The sequence below is a fragment of the Homo sapiens genome, chromosome 9, assembly GCF_000001405.40.
Source record: "Homo sapiens chromosome 9, GRCh38.p14 Primary Assembly".
NCBI classification, from domain to species: Eukaryota; Metazoa; Chordata; class Mammalia; order Primates; family Hominidae; genus Homo; species Homo sapiens.
In genome coordinates this window covers 16,260,946-16,280,006 of record NC_000009.12, presented here as the reverse complement: position 1 = coordinate 16,280,006, position 19,061 = coordinate 16,260,946, and the positions used below count along the sequence as shown (strand labels likewise).

Below are 19,061 nucleotides of genomic sequence, written 5' to 3'. Positions count from 1 at the left end.
ATATTTCTGCCTCTTATCCAAAATACAGTTGACCTTTGAATAGCATGGGTTTGAACTGTGTTGATCCACTTATAAGTGGATTTTCTTCTGCCTCTGACACCCATGAGACAGCAAGACCAACTTCCTCCTCCTCCTCCTCCTCCTCCTCCTCCTCCTCCTCCTCCTTCTCCTCTGGCTACTCAACCTAAAGATGAGGGAGATGAAGACCTTTATGATGATCCACTTCCACTTAATAAACAGTAAATATATTTTTTCTTCCTTCTGCTTTTCTTAATAACATTTCCTTTTCTCTAGCTTACTTTATTGTAAGAATATAGTATATGATTCACATAACATATAAAATATGTGTTGACTGTTTATGTTATTGATAAGACTTGCAGTCATTAGTAGGTAATTAGAAACTAAGTTTTGGGGCAGTCAAAAGTAACATGTGAATTTTCGGTTATGCAGGGGGTTGGCATCCGTAACCTCTGTGTTGTTCAAGGGTTGAGTGTATATCAAAGTAATATGGAAAGCCTAACCAGCCTCAGGAACTTTGATCTGTAAATTCTGACATTGTACCAAGTGCAAACCTACTTGCACTTACTGGGAAAATAACTTTCTAGGGTGCAGAAGGTATTTTAAAAACCATCAACTGCAGCTCAGCCCCTCTTTCTGAAACAAATGCATGGGCCCAATGAACCCAAGTCAGAGTTACTACTTTTTGGGCAACTATACCGTGTGGCATGCGGAGCTGGATGCTGGGTAAGTGCTCAGTCCAGTAACCTCGGAAGGCTGCTTTTATTATTCATATCTATGCCAGAGGAGCCCAGGGCTCAGAGTAGATGAGTAACCAGAGCTCAGAAGTGAGAGAGCTGGGACTTGAACCCTCTCACTCCAAACTCCATGGTAATCATCTTGTCAGCTGTCCTGTGGCATTCAGCAAGACAGGTGTTCGTGTCTCTCTTTTGTAGAGAAGAAAACTGAGGTTCAGAGAGGTCAAGTAACCCACACATGCCCACACAGCTTGGGCCTGCTCCTTGCCCAGAACCTGGGTGACTTCTCCTGTAACCCACTCACAGATGCGTGTGCGTGCTAGCGGAGAGTGATTCTTATCTGGGTCCCTTAAAGAGGTGATATTTTTCCGTGGTTGTTGACCTGCTGGCAACCCTTGTCATCTTCAGAGGAGACCCAGAGACTGTGGGCAGGGTGGTGATTCCCCGAGTCAGCCACGGAGGGCAGAGTTCCCTGTGATGGCAAGACAGCAAGCCTGTGTCTCGAGTACACATTTCTCACTATAAAGCAAACAACCCGACTGGCAGAGCACTGTAGGGAAAATGACATCACTGCAGAATTTTAGGGCTAATCATTTAGCTGGATTAGCCCCAAAGTGCTGTGTCTAAAATCAGCATCCCTGCCTCTTTATGTACTCCAGATGAAACACATTAGCAGAAATATGGCAAGGGACACTCACAATACACGGTTCTACACTCTCAGCAGTTTTTGCAAATCTGCAATTAGTCTAAAGGGCCTGGGTAAATTAGGCCTCTTGATAAATGAAGCACCTAGACAGGCCTCAGATTTATTGGATCCCGCTGTCCCGCTGTCCAGAGCCCTTGTCAGCTCCACTGCAGAGCGGGGACTGTACAGGGAAACAAAACAGAGCCAATTCAGGCTCGGAATTGCCCCCAAGTCTTTGAAAAGACTGTGTTTGAGACTGCTGCCTCGGTGGCCTTAAAAGTTTCTGCCAGGAACATAATAGGTGAAATAGGAAGCCATTGCCAGGAAGTTCGCGAGGGGGTAGAAGAGGCCTGTTATACACTCCAGGCAGAAGGAGAGATGGGGGAAGGGTTTTTGTTATAGGCAGGAGGGAGGGGGCCACCGAGAGGCCTGCATGTATCAGCAATTCTTTGCCCCATCCCACCCTGGGCCTCTCCAGCCTCCTCGTGTCAGAGATTAGCAATGGGCACCAACGGGTACCAGTGGGAACCACCAGCCTCTCTCCCAGCACTCCAGGTCTGGGCTCTAGTTGTTAGTTAACACACTCCTTTCCCAAATGCAATTTTCCACATGCTTCAGGTATTAATAATAAATGACCAGGTGGTTTGACTACCCAGAAAGGTTACAGAGATTCTAGAAAAGCACCCTCACCTCCAAAGTTGGGGGGTGGGTGTTTGTAATGCCTTAAAGCAAGCGTCCAGGGGCCAGAAGCCTGTGAGTGGTTGTGGCTTAGGTACAGGGGACATATGGGAAGGGGGTAGTATGGGCCTGTTGTTCTGATTTATGTCTCTGAATCCTGAGAAGCGGTTTGCGGCCACATTGGGGTGACACCTGCTAACTTTGCTGCTGGTGCTGCTGCCGCCGCCGCTGCTGCTGTGAGTGCTGAAGTCAGCTGAACCAGACCAGTAAGGGGCCAGCAGATGCGCAGATGTTTCTTGGGTGGCGAGAGTTATTTTTTGTTAAGTCTATCTTATTTATTTATTTATTTTTGCAACATTTTCTTTCCTGATTACTAAAGTAATTGCTGTTTGGGGATGGTGGGGACATTGTCTGAATTTTTAATTTAAAAAGTAGTAAAGGACAATTTGTAGTAGGGGACAATTTGAAACAGAGGTCCCTGTTTTGTGTGTGTGTGTGTGTGTGTGCATGCGTGTGTGTGTGTGTCTATTTCTTGCTCCCTCCCTATCTCTTTCTGTCTGTATCTTACAATCTTAGGTCCTCTGTCTGTCTTCCTTCTTCTGTATGTATCTCTCTGTTCTCAGTAACCCAGCAGAGCACGTTGTGGCCCTCTGTACCCCCAGCACTGTCCCCACAACTGAGCACTTTGCCACTTAACTCTTGGTGGCTTGGGCGGCTGGGTCCACGGGCTCCTTTGAGGTTAGGAGCACCCCAGGGTGTGAGCTTTCCAAGACCACTTTCTCCCGGAGGCTGCAGGAACGGCCTCACTGCCATGCCGCTTTCAGCTGCTGTGATTCAGTGTCTCTGGTCTGCAGATCAGCTGGGCGATTCTCCCGTCAGCCCACATTGATTTTCCTGTAGATTACATTACCTCCAATCACAAAAGAAATTGTGCTTTCTCTCCTGGAGTGTCAGGGCAAAATGAATAGCAAACATTTTCCTGCAGGCAGCTCAGCTTTTCTGTCAAAGCCCACTTGAGCAGGCAGAGCACCGTCCTTGCTCCCCGAACCCCCAAATCTTTTCTCTCCAACTCAGTGGAAAAGTTTCTGGGATGAGGTGGGACATCAGATGCAACTTGGAACGCACAAGATATCCAATTATGCCTCAGTGAGATCCTTCGGTATCTTAAGACCTTCTAAATTATGGAATTAAGAGGGTTTAGAGGGGGAAAAGAGCGGGTGACACCAGATGTGTTAAGAATTTAGAATGTGCTTCTTCATATATTAAAAAAGACTCTTTGAATATCATCAAAGAGATTGAGCAATTTTTATTCCTTTTAAAAGTACTGATTGGGGTCTCTGGTCTCTGGCTGGTATGTGTGTGTGTGTGAGTGTGTCGGGAGGCTGTATCACAAGGGCCTCTCTTTCTACGCTTGGTTGGTGCCAGGTCCACTTTCTGAAACCCTGGCATGCAGGGCGAGCCTTGCTTGTGTGGGCGGCTTTGGCACGGAGTCCTGGCACGGTGGATGAAGAGAAGCGTCAGCACTTTTCAAACAACTAACTAGCAGCAGAAGGCGGGCGCCAATCTCCAAAGTGGGCTTTGTGGGAGAGAGGTCTGTGTCTGGGCAAACAACCTGCTTGTAGAGGCTGGAAGAGGAAAAGGCCAAAGACACCTGAAAAGTAAGAGAGAATCTTCTCTAGGGACACTGGGGAGCCACATAAACACACGTGCCTGCCCAGTTGAGCATGGGTTTCTGTGTATCCCACGTGTGTGTCATGAGATACTTATAGCAAGAATTTTCATTGATAACTTAGCCAATGTTTATTGAACAACAACCATGGGCCAGACACTGGGTCAATGCTCTACCTATCATTGACCTATCTTTTCACTTGTCATCTAAATTGAATCCTCGCAGTGGGAAAGGCAGTGTCATCCCTGTTGACGTGATCTGGAAACAGTGCGTTAGAGAGTATAGGAGACTTGCCAAGGTATTATGGATTGAATTGTGTCCCTGACCCCAAGAAATGTGTTGAAATCCTAACCTTCCCCACCTGTGAATGTGACGTTATTTGGAAAAAGGGTCTTTGTGGATGATCAAGTTAGGAAGGAGTCATTAGGATGGGTCCTGATCCAATATGACTGGTAGAAAAACCAGGGAGATTTGGACACAGAGGGAAGACCATGTGAAGACTCAGGGAGAAGAGGAAGGACAGCCATCTGTAAGCCAAGGAATGCCAGCGATTTCTAGGAGGGAGGCCTAGACGAGATCCTTCCCCCACAGTCCTCAGAAAGAGCCAACCCTGCCAACAGCCTGATAGCGAACTTTTAGCTTCCAGAACCATGAGACAATATATGTTTGTTGTTGAAGCCACTTAGCCTGTGATACTTTGTATGGGAGCCCCAGGAAGTAACTACACAAGCTCACCCAAACTGTGGGTGGTGGAGCTGGTGTGTATGTGTCCAGGCCCTGCCTGTCCCCGCAGTTATGCAGTGTAGCCTGCACACTGCTGGTTTCCTTGATGAGGGCCCAGCCAGTGCCTGGATGTGCTCCCGTGGGCCTTGGATGTTTAGGAGTTGGTATGTTGGGATGGTTTGGGGGCAGAGGCCAAAGGGAGACTTTATGATGAATCTAGCGTCTTATATATACTTTTGCTTACAGGTCTAGGAATCTGCTAATTTTATCATTTATATAAAGAACCTTAAAATGTGTATATCTTTTGACCTATTGCTAGAAATCTATTAAAATAATGATAAAAATGGTGACATATTTCTGTAGAATTATATATCATAGTACTACTTACGAAACAGGTAGGAACGTTCCACATCCCAGGAATGTATGAAATGCCACATTTCCATATTTTCTAAAGTGAAATGAAATCTGATAGAAGTTGACACTAGCCAAGGGTGGTGAGAAGAACTCTGAATTCCTCTACCCCAGCTGGGTTGGCAGAACCTCTCTAGCCATAGTGTGTGGTGTCAGCCACATAGACAGCCACGTAGCAGTGCCCATCTGAGGTCACCCAGAGCATCGGGCTCAGATAGGGCCATATCTCCACCATAGGTCACAGTTCAAGTCTTATTTCTTTCCCCAGTCTTGGGGAGTCATTTAGCCAGGGAGGAGCCCATCTGTTAAACGTCTGCAGCCCACATCATTCATCCTCTTCCTTGGACGATGTAGTCTATAGGTGTCAAGGGCCTCTGTTTTTGAAACACAAAGCTCTCTCACAAAGTACCATAATCTCCTTTAAATAAGCAAAATAACCTTTCAGAAGTACATTTTCTCTCTCTCTCAGGGGTTATAGCACAGCAGTTGTTGAGAAAGATGTTTCATCTTTCTTTCATGTGACCACAGGAGTCAAAACAAACACAAATAACAAAACAACACAACTTCCAAATAACAAATCCCTAACACAAATAATGGCTACATTTAAATGCCCAATCATTCAGACTCATTACATTGATTATAATCCAAACACATATATTAGACATAGACATTAAATTTTTAGTTAACATTAATAGGAGACAAAGTTCAAGTTGTAATGTAAAGTGAAAAAATAGAACACTATATTATTTTCTATTGCTGCATAACAAATTATTGTAAGTTTAGCCACTTACGGCAACACCCATTTACTATCTCATGGTTCTGTAGGTCCAAAACCCCAGCAGTCTTGTTTGGGTTTTCTGCCCAGGGTCTCATAAGACCAAAATTAAGGTGTTGGCCAGGCTGTGTTCTCATCTAGAGCTGGGGTCTTCTTTCAAGCTCATTCATATTTTTGGTAGGATTGAGTTCCTGTGGTTGCAGGCCCAAGGTCCCTATTTTCCTTGCTGGGTGTCAACTAGGGGTTGCTCTCAGGTTCTGGAGGCTTCTAGCATTCTTTGCCATGTTGGGCTCTCTATCTTCACAGTCACCAAAGGAGACTCTCCCTTGTTTCAAGTCCCTCTCATGCTTCGTATCTGTCTCCAGGAAAAGCCTAATCTCTGTCAAGACTCACCTGAACAGGCCAGACCAACCCAGGATCATCTCCCACCCTTAAAGTCTTGCCATGGAACATAACCAAATCATGAAAGCGATGGCCCATAATAGTCACAGGTCCCACCTGCCCACATTCAAGGGGGAAGGGATTACGTAAAGCCATGTGGATTCCGGGATCATCTTAGAATTCTGTCTAATACAGATACCAGTTGTATATACACAAGATCTCAGCCATGTAATGTTTATGAGCTCAGAGGAACACGTGTATGATATAAACCTCAATATTAATAAGACTTTTTTGTGGGGTAGGATTATGGATGACTTTTATTTTCTTCTTTATACTTTTCTGTATCTTCTAAGCATTTTATAATGAGCACGTTTCATTTATGATCAAGGAAAACACCCACATTATTTAGATAGAGAAATAATTGGGCCTCAAGCTAGGATAGTAACGCATGACTAGTAGGCATTTGCTCTGTAAAATTAAGTGTGTGTAGCTGAATGGTTTGTTCATTCATTTATTCTTTCGTTCATTCATTCACTGGCCCCCTTGGGAAGAAGGTGCAGACAGGTTGCATTCTCCTATAGGACTGCATGCTGATGGGGTCCCTCTGTTCAGAATATCTCTGGAATCGCTTCACACTTTTCAGCAAAAAAAGATTCCAAAAGACAAGTAGTATTTCTATTTGTTATTACTCCTGGGGAAAAAATAGTGAAGGAAAATTACTCAGACTGTTTGAGAAATACTTTGCAATTTCTATTTTCTCACCAGTATCCTAATAGCTTGATAATGTTTAGGTTTTGAAATTTCATATTTTCTTTGTGAGCAGAAAATACCAGCTTCTCATAAATAACTGAAATGAAACAACAGAACTCTTGGCTCAAATTCACTTTTCAGCCTGACGCGTCAGAAGGAGCCCAGTGCAAAAACTCTCTCCCGAAACAGAAGTGTGGCCCAGGGAGACTAGCAACACAAATGATCCGGAAACCCTTAGAGTGGGAACTCCCGCCACGAACAGAGCAGAATTGCTCAAGGATGGGAACATCAGCATGTGGCAAACCATCAGAGGGACATCGACTGGCCATCTCAGGCCACCCTGTGCCAGTAGCAAGTCTAGGGGCTGAAGTCAGGTGAGAGCGTGCAGTAAATGAGGTTGGGCAGAAAAATAGGGCAAGGACGCCCTGTACCAAACGGTGATGTTGGCATGATTTGCCTTTGGGCTTCTTTGTCTCCTCTTCCTTCTTCATTCATTCCCCTTCCCTTCACTGGTGCCCACTCCTGCCCTGGTGCCGGCTTCCATCTCCCACCCACTTTCAGTTAATGAAGATCATTCAGGGTTGTTTTTTTTTTTTTTTTTTAATGCGGATACACTCAGGAGTATTTGCATTTTAATAAGGGATTGTAAAAGGTGAAAAAGCCTTGACGATAGCAAAGAATAGTTTGCTAATAGTGGAAGGACCAGTAAGGAGGTTATTTTTGCTTGGGGGCCCTGCCCAATGCCCCCAAAGTCATCTTCCAAATACTGTTTTTTGTACAGTGTTGACCTGGCTCAGGAATGGGCTGCAGGGATTCTATTCTGTCAGCATTAAATGGGTGTCGACAGCTGGAAGAAAGGCATCAAAATATATAGGAAACAGCATTCTTGAAACGAGAACTAAAATATCTGCTGTGTGTCTTCCACACCGTGTCATGGGGAGAATCAAATGAGGTCATGTATGTGACAGAGTCTCCTAAGAGACTCAGAAATGAACACATGCAGAGTAGTATCAGGATACGTGGCTTATGTGGTTGTCCCCAGCACAGTCAGAGAACAAAAGCCTGGGCACAAAGATGATCGGGCTTTTGACACGGTTGCCTGCCTTAGAAACTGACACTATTTCGTTAGGCCTTTTCTGCAGGTAGTCATTATATGTAAATGTCATGAGCGAATGAATCCACTGAGATATAAAGGAGCATTCGCCCCTTGAGAGTTGTTCTGGGTTCCAGAGACTCACCTCATACTATGCCTCAGTTTCTCATTTGGTAGACCTGAAGATGAAAATAAGTATTGGTCTTCCCTCAGCAGAAATAGGAAAAGTGAATGGGCAGCTGGGGTGAAGCTCTTTGAGGCCTCCGTGAAGAAGGGGGAAGAAGCTCTTCTTCCCAAGACGGGTTGTATTTGGGCAAAGGTGAAATCATGTTGGTTTTAGTTTTTTTTCAACTTATCAATTATTTTCTAAATATAAACTTACAAACTATGAAGCATGAGAAGTAAATGGAGAGCCATGAAACTTCCACCCAGTTAACGATAAATAACATCATCACCCTCCACTCCATCCAGGGTCTCTTCCTCACGCTGGGCCCTTCCCTTCCCATCACCTGAATACATGGCAAGGAACCACTATCTGAATGGTGCTTTTATTTTTTAAAACAATATTCTTTATTCCTATTTTGTATCACAGTTTGACCACATATCCACTAACCATATATCACTTAGTCCTGCTTATCTTTTAAACTCCATATAAATGCCATCACCAGGTATGTATTCTTTTGGGACTTGCTGTTTTTAGCCAACGTTATGTGTTTGTGATTTGACAGTTTCTATGCCTCTAGGTTTGGTTCATTCATTCTCATTCCATTGTATTCCATTTATGAATATACCAGAAATCAATCGTCTCTTCTCTTCTTGATAGCACAGCTTTAGTCTTTGCATTTATTTTAAACATGCTTTCACTGTAGGATTTAGGGTGCTTGTCTTAGTTCAGGCTGCTGTAACAAAATACCAAAGATATAATCTTTGGTTTATATCACAGAAACATATTTCTCACAGTTTTGGAGGCTGCAGGTCTGAGAAGGGGGTGTCGGCATGGCCGAGTTCTGGTGAGGGCCCTCTTCCACTTGCAGACTGCTGACTTCTCAGTGTGTCCTCACATGGCAGAAAGGGGGTGAGTGAACTCGTGGGCTCCCTTTTCTGAGGGCATTAATCCTACTCACGAGGGCTCCCTGCTCAGACCTAATCACCTCCCGAAGGCCCCACCTGCTAATGCCATCATGTTGGGGGTTAGAATTTCAGCATATGAATTTCAAGGGCAGAAACATTCAGTCCATTACAGTAGTGTTTATTCCCGTAGAGGTAAAGCCAAGGTGTGGTTAAACAGGACTAGGTGACTGGGCAAAGGAAGTAAGAAACTAACATTTTTTTTTTTTTTTTTGAGGCGGAGTCTCGCTCTGTCGCCCAGGCTAGAGTGCAGTAGAGGGACCTTGGCTCAGTGTAACCTCTGCCTCCCGGCTTCAAGAGATTGTCCTGCCTTAGCCTTCTGAGTAACTGGGATTATAGGCATGCACCACCACGCCCGGCTAGTTTTTGTTGTTGGTGGTGGTGGTGGTGGTGGTATTTTAATTAATAGTATAGAGATGGAGTTTCACCATTTTGGCCAGGCTGGTCTCAAACTCCTGACCTCAGGTGATCTGCCTGCTTCGGCCTCCCAAAGTGCTCAGATTACAGGCATGAGCCACTGCGTGTCCTGCCAGAAAGTAACATTTTGAAGGTAAACCAGGCCCTAGCCCCCAACTCTCCTAATGGTCTTCCTTGTACATGTTATCTCACCATTCTCAGAAACACTTTCTCAGTAAAGTAAAGAAGTTGAGTTAGATAAGCTTCAGATTCTCTTCTAAGGCAACTTCCTAATTCAATAAGTTGTTCACTCACTGAACACATAATCTGCTATTTGCCTCCATTACTAGATTCAGTAGAAAACAAAACAGGCACGTCACAGAATTTCAGACCACGGAAGATGTCAGAGAAAAAAGGAGTAGGCCGCTAAAAAGTTTTTTGTTTTTGCTATTGTTGTCTGGTTTGTTTTAAAATTAGAAACTGTAAGTACTATTGTAGAAACACCCATGGGGTGAGGATACAGAGCTCTGGATGGATCTATTTTAGGTAGAATGGTCGGGAAAGGCCTCCCAGAGAATGAATACCTAAGCTTGAGAGGCACCAGCCACACATGGTCAGGAGGAAGACGATTCCAGTCTCAGAGAACTGCCTGGGCAAAACCTCTGGGTAGAACAAGAGCTTCATATGTTCTAGAACTTGGGGGAATTATGTGAGAGGGAAGCATGCCTCCAGGTGAGCCCTGACACTTCAGGGAGGCGCTCTGTGGACCATCGAAAGGATTTGAGTTTTATCCTTTGTGCAAGTGGAAGGCGTTAAAGAATTTTTCAGTAGAGAGTGACATGATCAGATCTGTGTTTTTTAAAGATTACTGCGACTGTTGTGAAGAGAATGGGTAGGAGGGGGCTAAAGCGAAAACTGCAACTGTCGGGCCTCACGGGAGGTGACGGGGCTCAGGTTGGAGAGGCAGTCATGGAGGTGAGAGGGAGGGGACGGGCTAGGTCCCAAGATGATGTGGAACCAAGAAGGGGCATTGCCGCAATGTATTTTTAATTAGAAACATAATCAACATTGGGGGTAAATGGGGAAATAATCAGATGCAAGCTCACTTCACTAGAGAAGAGAAGGTTCAGAGAAAATGGGGTTGGTCAAGATAAGGAAGTTGGAGGAAGCTGTGATTCTTTAGTAATGGGACACTACAGATCCTCTGCGCATACGCCTCCTTCCCTCCCTCTCTTCCTTCCTCCCTTTCTTCCATCTTCTAACTACCTTGTCTGAAGACTATCTCTAAAACTCTTCTCTGTTTGAAGATAACCTTCTTTACCAGAATGGAGCAGACAAGAGCCACCTCCCCAGTCTTCCAGAGGAGAGGGGACATCCAACCCCCCACCCCACACCCACCTCTACACACACATCCAGGCCCAGGACAGTGTCCTCACCAGCACTGTTCCACCCCTCCCAATCCTTCCTGGCCAGAAAAAGTGCCTGAACCGTTGTGTCAGATCCCAGTCTTGGCACAGGCTTTATATCTCCCTAACAATATACTGCCCATTTAAAGAACCGTAAAACATGACCGAATAGGGAATAGCAGTGGCTGTTTAGTATGCTTTAAAATTCTTTAATTTGCTGTGCCACAATAACTTGCACTTTAATAAAAGCAATCTCTCGTCTTAATAGCTACACAATAAAGAGTTATTTATATGAGTCAGTGTGCAGGCCCGAGCCTTCCAGGTGTGCCCCAGATTTTAAGCACTCTGAGCGATTTGCAGGCTGGCGCTGCCTGATGCAGCCCATGGAAGGCTCCTGACACTGCCATTTTGCAGTGTCACAACTCCAGGGCCACGACCCGCCCCAGGCTCCTGGCCCTGCACAGCCCACTCGGCGCGCTGATTTATTTCGGTATTACGTTTAATTGTTTCCTTCTTGTGGAAGCCTTAACATGCAATGCTTGTAAATCTGACCCAAATCCTCCATATGGCACTCTGGTTTTCCATTTTCAAATGCATTCGCCCTGGAATAATGACTGTGGTATAACTCAATTTGAGTTCTGCTGCTGGGGACTTTATTACATAATGCTTTCTAATTGACCCTCATAGTTTGATAAGACAGAACATTTCACCAGAACATTGACAAAAGTTATTAATTTTCACTTCAGCAGAGACCCATGTCCCAATTAAATCCCCTGATAATGCCTGACTGACTGACCTCATTATGGCTAATGCTTATTAGTCCTGCGGAGAGGATAGCATCACACTCTGTTAAAATGCCTAAATGAGCACATACAACCATCCACTGTGATTACAATTTACATACATGACAAATTTTACTCCCTAATCCTTGTCTGGTGCAATGAATGTGGCATGCTGCTGTCATACCACGGGATCAGCCATTGAGGATTTGGGAGGTGTAAAAATGCTCTGCGAGTGTGCTAAGCTACACCCAGTTAAATTCTATCTGCCTTTCTAGGAAACTATTTCAAGTGTGTGGGCGTCTTTAAACAGGGAGATGACTTCTGCCCTTTCCTTTTTTAATGAGAACAACTAGTACTCATTTGTTTGTTTGTTTTTAGCCGACTTCAAAAAATAGAAAACCCACCAGCAGCAGCAGCAGCAAACAGTGATTTCAGCCTTTCTGCTTGGGTAGCTCATACTCCCTGAAGTGGACTTTTCTTCCCTGAGTTTAGTTATATTTTTTACATCTTTCCTGAGCTTTCATCTTGCAGGGGACAGTGGGTGGGGGCTTGTAGACTCAGCTTCCAGTTGAGGGTATCGTAGATACCACCCCATTTAACCAATGACAGGGCCACTTACTCAAGCTAGTCCCGTATTGTGGCACAAGCTGTTGGAAGGTCAGTTGGAAGAAAAATGTATATTTGCACACGCTGATAAAATGGAAGCCTCAGAGTGGCAAGAAAATGAAAGTGAAAAAGCCTTACAGTGTCTGAGGCTTCAGATTGTTTTTCGACCTTTCTTCTTCTGGTCCACACAGCAGTGTTTATCTTTGAGGTGGTCTGACCACGGCTCGATGTCTGTTTTTCCTGCGCAATGTAGTCATTCCCCCTGGGCTGTATGATTTGACACATGACAACAATCTAAGAGCAGAGATCAAACTTCTCAGACTCATGGCAATGTGACAAGTAATGTGTATTGACACAGCAAAGTGCATTCTGGAAATACGAGTGGTTGGGCGGGCACAGCCCCTTGCTCAGCTAGAGATAGCTTAAATCATAGGCTTCAGTTGCCCACAAAGATACAGCCAAAATTTAAATAATAATAATAACCAGCTGGAAGCTGCAATTCATTGAACTCTTTTCTCTCTCTCTTTTTCTTTGGGTATCATCATGTTGAAAGCAGGAATTTTGTGGGAAAATAGTAATAGTAACAAAAGAAGAAAGTGAAAAAAAGAAATGAAACTAAACCTCCTTAGGGAATATTTTAAAGTACTGCATGTTCTCCTCCATCACTCATTCTGCAGATGTCTACTGAGTAGCTCCTTCGTGTTGGGCACTGTACTAGGTTTCCGAATACTAAGGTGAATGACCTAGAGATAGGGCACATCATACCTACTCACAAGACACCCTACCACATGATGCTACAAAGGTTTATGGGACCCCCAAGAGGGGGCATCTAACCCACATTTGGTAGTTCCTCCATGCGTTCGACACATGGGCATTTAGCCCTACTATGTGCTAAGCGCTATTGAGTCTGTCTATTCCCAGTGCTAAAGAGTGACTCCTAGTGGTGACCCAAGGTGTGGCGGCTTCCTCAGGATTCAATAGGGCATTGCTCACGAAAGGCTTTCACTGCCTGTTTGTGGCATCAATGATTGATGGCATATATACTGAGGAAAAGTGAACTCGTTCGCCCAAAAGAAGATTTTTTAAAACACTGCTGTGGGAGAAGAATCATCACAGAGTTGGGTAATCGCAGGGGAAAGAAGGATCCATTTGAAGGATGGAGGTAGGTTTAGAGAAGATGTTGCTAAGGAGGTGGTCACAGAGTTCTGGGTATGGCTTTGGTGCTTAGACTTGAATCCACATCCTTTTCCCCTGGTGGGGTCTCCTGCTATTGCACTGGAGCCAGGTCAAACTGGCCCAGCGAGCCAGTCATGCCTAACTCTTTCCTACTGCATTTTCAGTTCTATCGCATTGGTAGCTTGAATTTAGCCATGGTGGGAGTATTTACACCACAGAAATTGGCAAACTCTACAAGCCAGAGCTCTTCTTCTACAGCTACCCCTGCCCCCGGAACCAGTTGTTAAACACTGATCAGCACACCACTGTCTCCACACAAGAATCCCTAGCTGTATGAAAAACTCAACACTGATTTCATTAGATGACTGGCAAAGGCTTATACCACAGTGCAAAGCTCTGGTAAAAATTCACATCCATGCCTTAGGCCTGGGGACCCTAACTTCCATGAGGGCAGTGCTGGGACCCTATGCTCAGGCTGTCCACAGAGAGACAAGACAGACTTCCAAGTCTTTTGAGAAGATTCTGAGCCAACTTCCTGAAGCAACTGCATGGACGAATTACGGAAGTGGCGTGAACTGGTCAAGACAGGCTGCTGCCCTAGATGACGGATGTCCCACTCAAGGGCACTTTACTCAAGGGAGCAGCTGTGAAATAATAGTAATGGGGATGATCCAGGGCTTCTCTGAGAGAGCCAGAAGTGGAATACACCATGCTTGGGGAATTGTGTTCTCTTTCAACTCAGTGACCCCACTCTCTAGGAAACATGACTCACTTAAGGCTGGGCTCTGTCTTCTCAAGCTGAGCACCTTGTCCCATGGAGTGGAGCCCACAGGGAATGGGGAGGACTCAGAAGTGTGAGGAAGGTCTGTCTCCTAAGGGTTAAGGAAGAAATCCGAGTTGATAGATGCCTCTTCCCTCCCCAGCAATGAGGGCTGAATAAATGGCCACCGATGGGAAAGGCAATAGGGCACTAGCGTGTGGAAAGGCACAGCATTGTGGGCAGAGGAAACCGTGGAGATTTCTGTGGGACCTATTTTGTGTTCTCAGGGGAGAGGGTGATGGCAAGAGGAGAGCATAGAAAAGAAGATGGGACCCAGGTTGTGTGGGCTGTGGTGTTTGTTCTTTATTCTGTAGCCAACAAGGAATCAACACAGAGAGTTAGAATAGGGGAACGATATGGTCCAATCCCTTTTTAGGGACATGGAGGGTACAGAAGTAGGGGAAGAGTTTGATGGCTGGGGGACCAAGACCAGGCTGTTGCAGACACAGTTATCTGCTTATTCAGTATCAGTTCTCATTTTCTTCCTTCCTGACAGAACCTCAGTTTTATTCAGAGAGGCAATGTGTGCTGCATGCGAAAGAAAACAAAAGAAAGAAAATCCCCACTACCATTCCCAACCTTCCTTGCAGAGGGAGAGGTCAGACAACACAGTTCTGGCCAATGAAATGTCAAGTGACATTTCCCTGGGCGGAGCTCCCAGGAGAGCCCTTTGAAAGGGGTCAGATTCAGGAGGCAAGCTGCTTTTTTCCCCTTGCCCTTCGCTTTCTTCTAACCTGGAATGTGGATTTGAAAGAAGCGCAACCATTTTGCCACCATGAGGTGACAAGCAAACTGAGGATAGCCATACGGCAAGAGAGGCTGATTGGAAAGATAGGAGGCATGCGGGGTCTCTGGAGGCATTGTGGGGCTGCCATATTGGCTCTGGATCTCCTACATCTGGATTTCTTATTGTGTGAGGAAAAAATCAGACTCTATGTGGTTAAGCCACGGCAAGTTCAGCTTTCTGTTACATCAGCTGAACCCATTCTTAACTCTTTCTGGTACTGTTTCATAGGTCCAGGTGACAGCCCCTGAGTCCCTGAACTACAGCAGCCAGTGGCATGAAGAGGTGAGGAACAGCTCTCAGGTAGACTTGGCAGCAACATCTTGTTAGGGAGAGTGAAGCCTGAAAGACAGTGTAGCTCCTGAAACTGACTGAAATGTAGACGGCAGAATCGGCCCACCCCAAGGATTCAGGTTTAAGGGCTGAGTAGGACACATGCCAGAGACGATGAGCTCGGTCAAGGGCAGACTGAGTTTGAAGTGCTCAATGTGCAATGTAGACGGGGCATCTTCTGGGCCACTGGAAAGGCCCGTCTGCATTCGGGAAAGAGGTAGGGAGAGTTCTGAAAAAGAGATATGGCAGTTACCGGCAAAGTGATGGTGGCTGGATCCATGGGAGTGGACAGGATTACATATGAGACAGATGTGTGAGGAGAAGAGGGGCAAAGAGACAGCTTTGGGGAACACTGCCAGGCAATGGACAGGCGGTGCTGGGTTGGGGGATTATGGGGGATAGAGAAAGAGAGTGCGAAGGGCTGGGAGAGAGTGGGGAGAAGAATTCACAGAGGCTGGGTCCCAGAAGCCAAGAGCAGAGATGGTCTCGAGAAGGAAAAGAGCAGTCAAGAGTGCCAAATGCGGCGGAGTTGTCAAGGAGGATGAGGAATGAAAATTAGCCTATGGATTTGGCAATTATGATGTCAGTTTTTCTGCTAAAGCTGCTCCCACTGAGGTCACTAATGAAGCCAGAGAAATAGAATGATTTGCCCAAAGTGACATCGTTAGTAATGAGTCTAGCATTAGAAACTGAGGCTCCCGACTCTGGTTAAGTGCTCTTTCTCTTTTATTACACATACTTTTAGGCTGCCCCAAATCACAAAATCGGGTTTTCTTAGAACAGCTTTTGGGTATCATTTATGGTCAAGTGCAAAAACCTTCTAGCTGTCTTTATTGATGTTAGTTTAAATAGGTGTCACTTTGTTCTCAGATTAAAGTATCTTCTTAGCTAATATTTTGATGTGCTGAGATCTCCTAATGGAGAAAGAAGCAAGCCATGGAGAGGAAGAAAGTCAAGACAGGCACTGTCCGCTCCCCTGCTTGTCACTCAGGGCTCTCAGCCCTGGCTGGAGGCTGTCTTCATTTCTCGGTCCATGTCCTGCCCCACAGCCAGAGGCTGAAGAGAGAGTCTGAAGTATTGCCTGGCGGAGGAGTGCTGTTTCTTTTATCTCAAGCAAGAAGGAGCCTTTCCACAGACTGGCCCATCCTGAGCAGACTAGTATCCAGCCGGACATACAGCATTGACCCCCGCGGGGACCAGAAACAGCCTGGGCACGTGAAGCCAGCGGGCAATATTTTAGCCAGAAGTTCTTACTCTATTTCCAGAACAATCAACATGAAGGTCACAGCATCTGTAAAAAGCCTGAGCTATCTATCTACATGAGAGGTGGGGTTCAGAGAGAGAGGCAAGAGAGTCCATCTTGAAATTCTCAAGGCTGAACTCGAATCTGTCTCTCTGTCTTTTTTTTCCTCCCCTCCCGAAAGCAGAGGTCAGAAAGGTGTCGCGAGGTGAGGGCAAAATTGTCAGAACCCCAGTGTGTCTCAGCCCCTGCTCTCCCAGGCGATCACACACCTATCAGTACTGAGGATAGCACAGCAGGTGCACTGGCAGAAACCCCTCTTGCAAAACCTTCCCTATCCGAGAACAGAAAGTAAAGCAAATAAACATCCTGAGGCTGTGAAACGCTCCAATCGCCACCCCCTGCCCCAGGCTGACAGGGGGTGAGTCAGCAGCTTGGATATATAGTGGCAGTTGGCAGGAAAACCCGGTGGGCTTGCTATGGGGGCCCTGCAATCCATAAAGGAAAATTGTCTCAGCAGAGCAAGAGGCTTTTGTTGTTGTTGTTGTTTTTCCTGAGCAAACGAGCACTGGTGTTTTCTCCCATGCAAGAAAGCTGCTACAGATCTGGAGTCAATTTTTCTCTGATGGACAAGGTAGTGAGGGCCTCTGGCTGATTAAAGAGAGTAGCTACCATTCACTATTTCTCAGAAGAGGGAACATAAAAACGGAGATGCAGCCAAAATAAACAGATGGCTGGATCGGGTGGAGGATGCTGTCACGAGCAGACACACAGGTAGCATGGGCCCCAGGCAACCACACGAAGCCATTAAGAGGAGCCAAAACTCAGCAAAGAGTTCTAGAACCCTGGGAAACAGATTGTGCCCTGCCCCAGGGGGGTCGCCTTGGAATTGTCACTGATCCAAAGGTAGTCAAGTTTGCACAGAGCAGGGGGACCCAGCAAGCAAGCAAGCAAGCCTGGACACCAGGAGGACTGAGAAAAGACAGAACTGAGACTAAAGGGGTGAGGCAGTGAAGTCCGTGTAAACTCTGAGCCGCTCAAGTGGCTGGAAGGTTGAGCAGCAGATAGGATGGCGTACCGACTGGCGGGCTGCTTTCAGAACCAACTCAGAGCCACTAAGGCAATTCCGCAAACATTCACCGAATGCCTTGTAGGTACCAGAGCTCTGCCTCTGAGGATCTTGTGGTCTGGGAGTGAAATGTTTATAAACAGATAAATGACACTGCAATACAATGATTATGAACAGAATCCTGAAGGATCATAAGGGAGAGAGCTGTCAGGGAAGGCTTCAGAGAGGAGGTGACACTGAGGCTGGTTAATAAAGACTGAGCACGGTAAAGAAGGAAAAATTGTACCAAAGACTGTAGTTGAGTAACCACAAGACTATTATAATGAAGGCTCTGGTTGCAGAGAAAAAAAGTTCAGTTAAACTAGCTGAAGTTATGAGGAGCATTACTACAGAAGTACAACAGAGACTCTTACCAGAAAGTAAGAGGAAAGAAGTGCTGTGGGTTGCCATGGGGACTGGACCCAGGAAACCATGATCCAGTGTCAATTCCTGACAGAGGCACAAGGACTTCCATCCTCCAAGCTCTGTGTCTCTGTCCACTTCCCGTCTTCCTGAGGTCCATTCTTCCCTGGTTACATGTGGCCTAGGAATCCCATATCTTTGCCTCATAGGCATTTGTGGCTTGCTCTGGCATCAGCTTCAGGACCAATTTCCTATGACCTTTCAGGTAAAGTGCCTATCATCCTGTGGGCACACCTGACTCTATCCCTCAGTGTTCTACTTCTCAGGACAGAGAACCCAGTTGGCTCTGATTAAGTCATTGATATCTGATTGGTAAACTGGTGCCTGGAGCCAGAAGGGGAAAGTGCAGGTTGTATATAATGTCACCTTTCTTTTTTTTTTTTTTTTTTTGAGACAGGGTCTCGTTCTGTCACCCGGGCTGGAGTGCAGTGGTGCAATCTTGGCTCACTGCAGTCTGGATTTCCCAGGCTCAGGTAATCCTCACACCTCAGCCTCCCAGGTAGCTGGGACCACAGGTGCCTGCCGCCACGCCTGGATAATTGTTTTGTATTTTTTGTAGAGATGGAGTTTCATCATGTTGTTCAGGCTGGTCTTGAACTCCTGGGCTCAAGCAATGTGCACACCTCGGCCTCCCAAAGTGCTGGGATTACAGGCATTAGCCAACACACCCGGGTGAATGTCACCTTTCAAGGTGTGAGTGGGCGTGGATGGGGGGGTGATGACTGGCATATTTACTAAGGTGCATGTACTCATGTGAGCACTCTGGAAACACAGGGTATCTGCCATAAGTGTCCAGGATAGACTTTTGGCTCTCTGTGCTGCAATTGTACAAACCTTTATCTTACCACCGAAAATATTATAAAAATTTATCTTAATTTATCCTTCATCACAATTTAAATCCTAAAATAAGGGTAAACACTTTAATCATATGTATTCATG

General features: G+C 45.8%; 2 long non-coding RNA genes across 2 annotated transcripts in view; one reads left to right on the top strand and one right to left on the bottom strand.

The window, feature by feature from the left end:
- The first annotated feature begins 3,693 nt into the window (after positions 1 to 3,693).
- Positions 3,694 to 19,061, top strand: part of LINC03041 (long intergenic non-protein coding RNA 3041) — a 72,379-nt gene continuing 57,011 nt past the window's right edge. The window contains exon 1 of the long non-coding RNA NR_171034.1: positions 3,694 to 3,776. This is a non-coding gene — a long non-coding RNA (long intergenic non-protein coding RNA 3041). The remainder of the gene's footprint in view (positions 3,777 to 19,061) is intronic.
- Positions 6,573 to 12,544, bottom strand: LOC124902124 (uncharacterized). Its single transcript, XR_007061424.1, has 2 exons — positions 12,377 to 12,544; positions 6,573 to 6,768 (listed from the first exon to the last, which is right to left on the bottom strand). It is a non-coding gene; the product is annotated as an uncharacterized LOC124902124 (long non-coding RNA).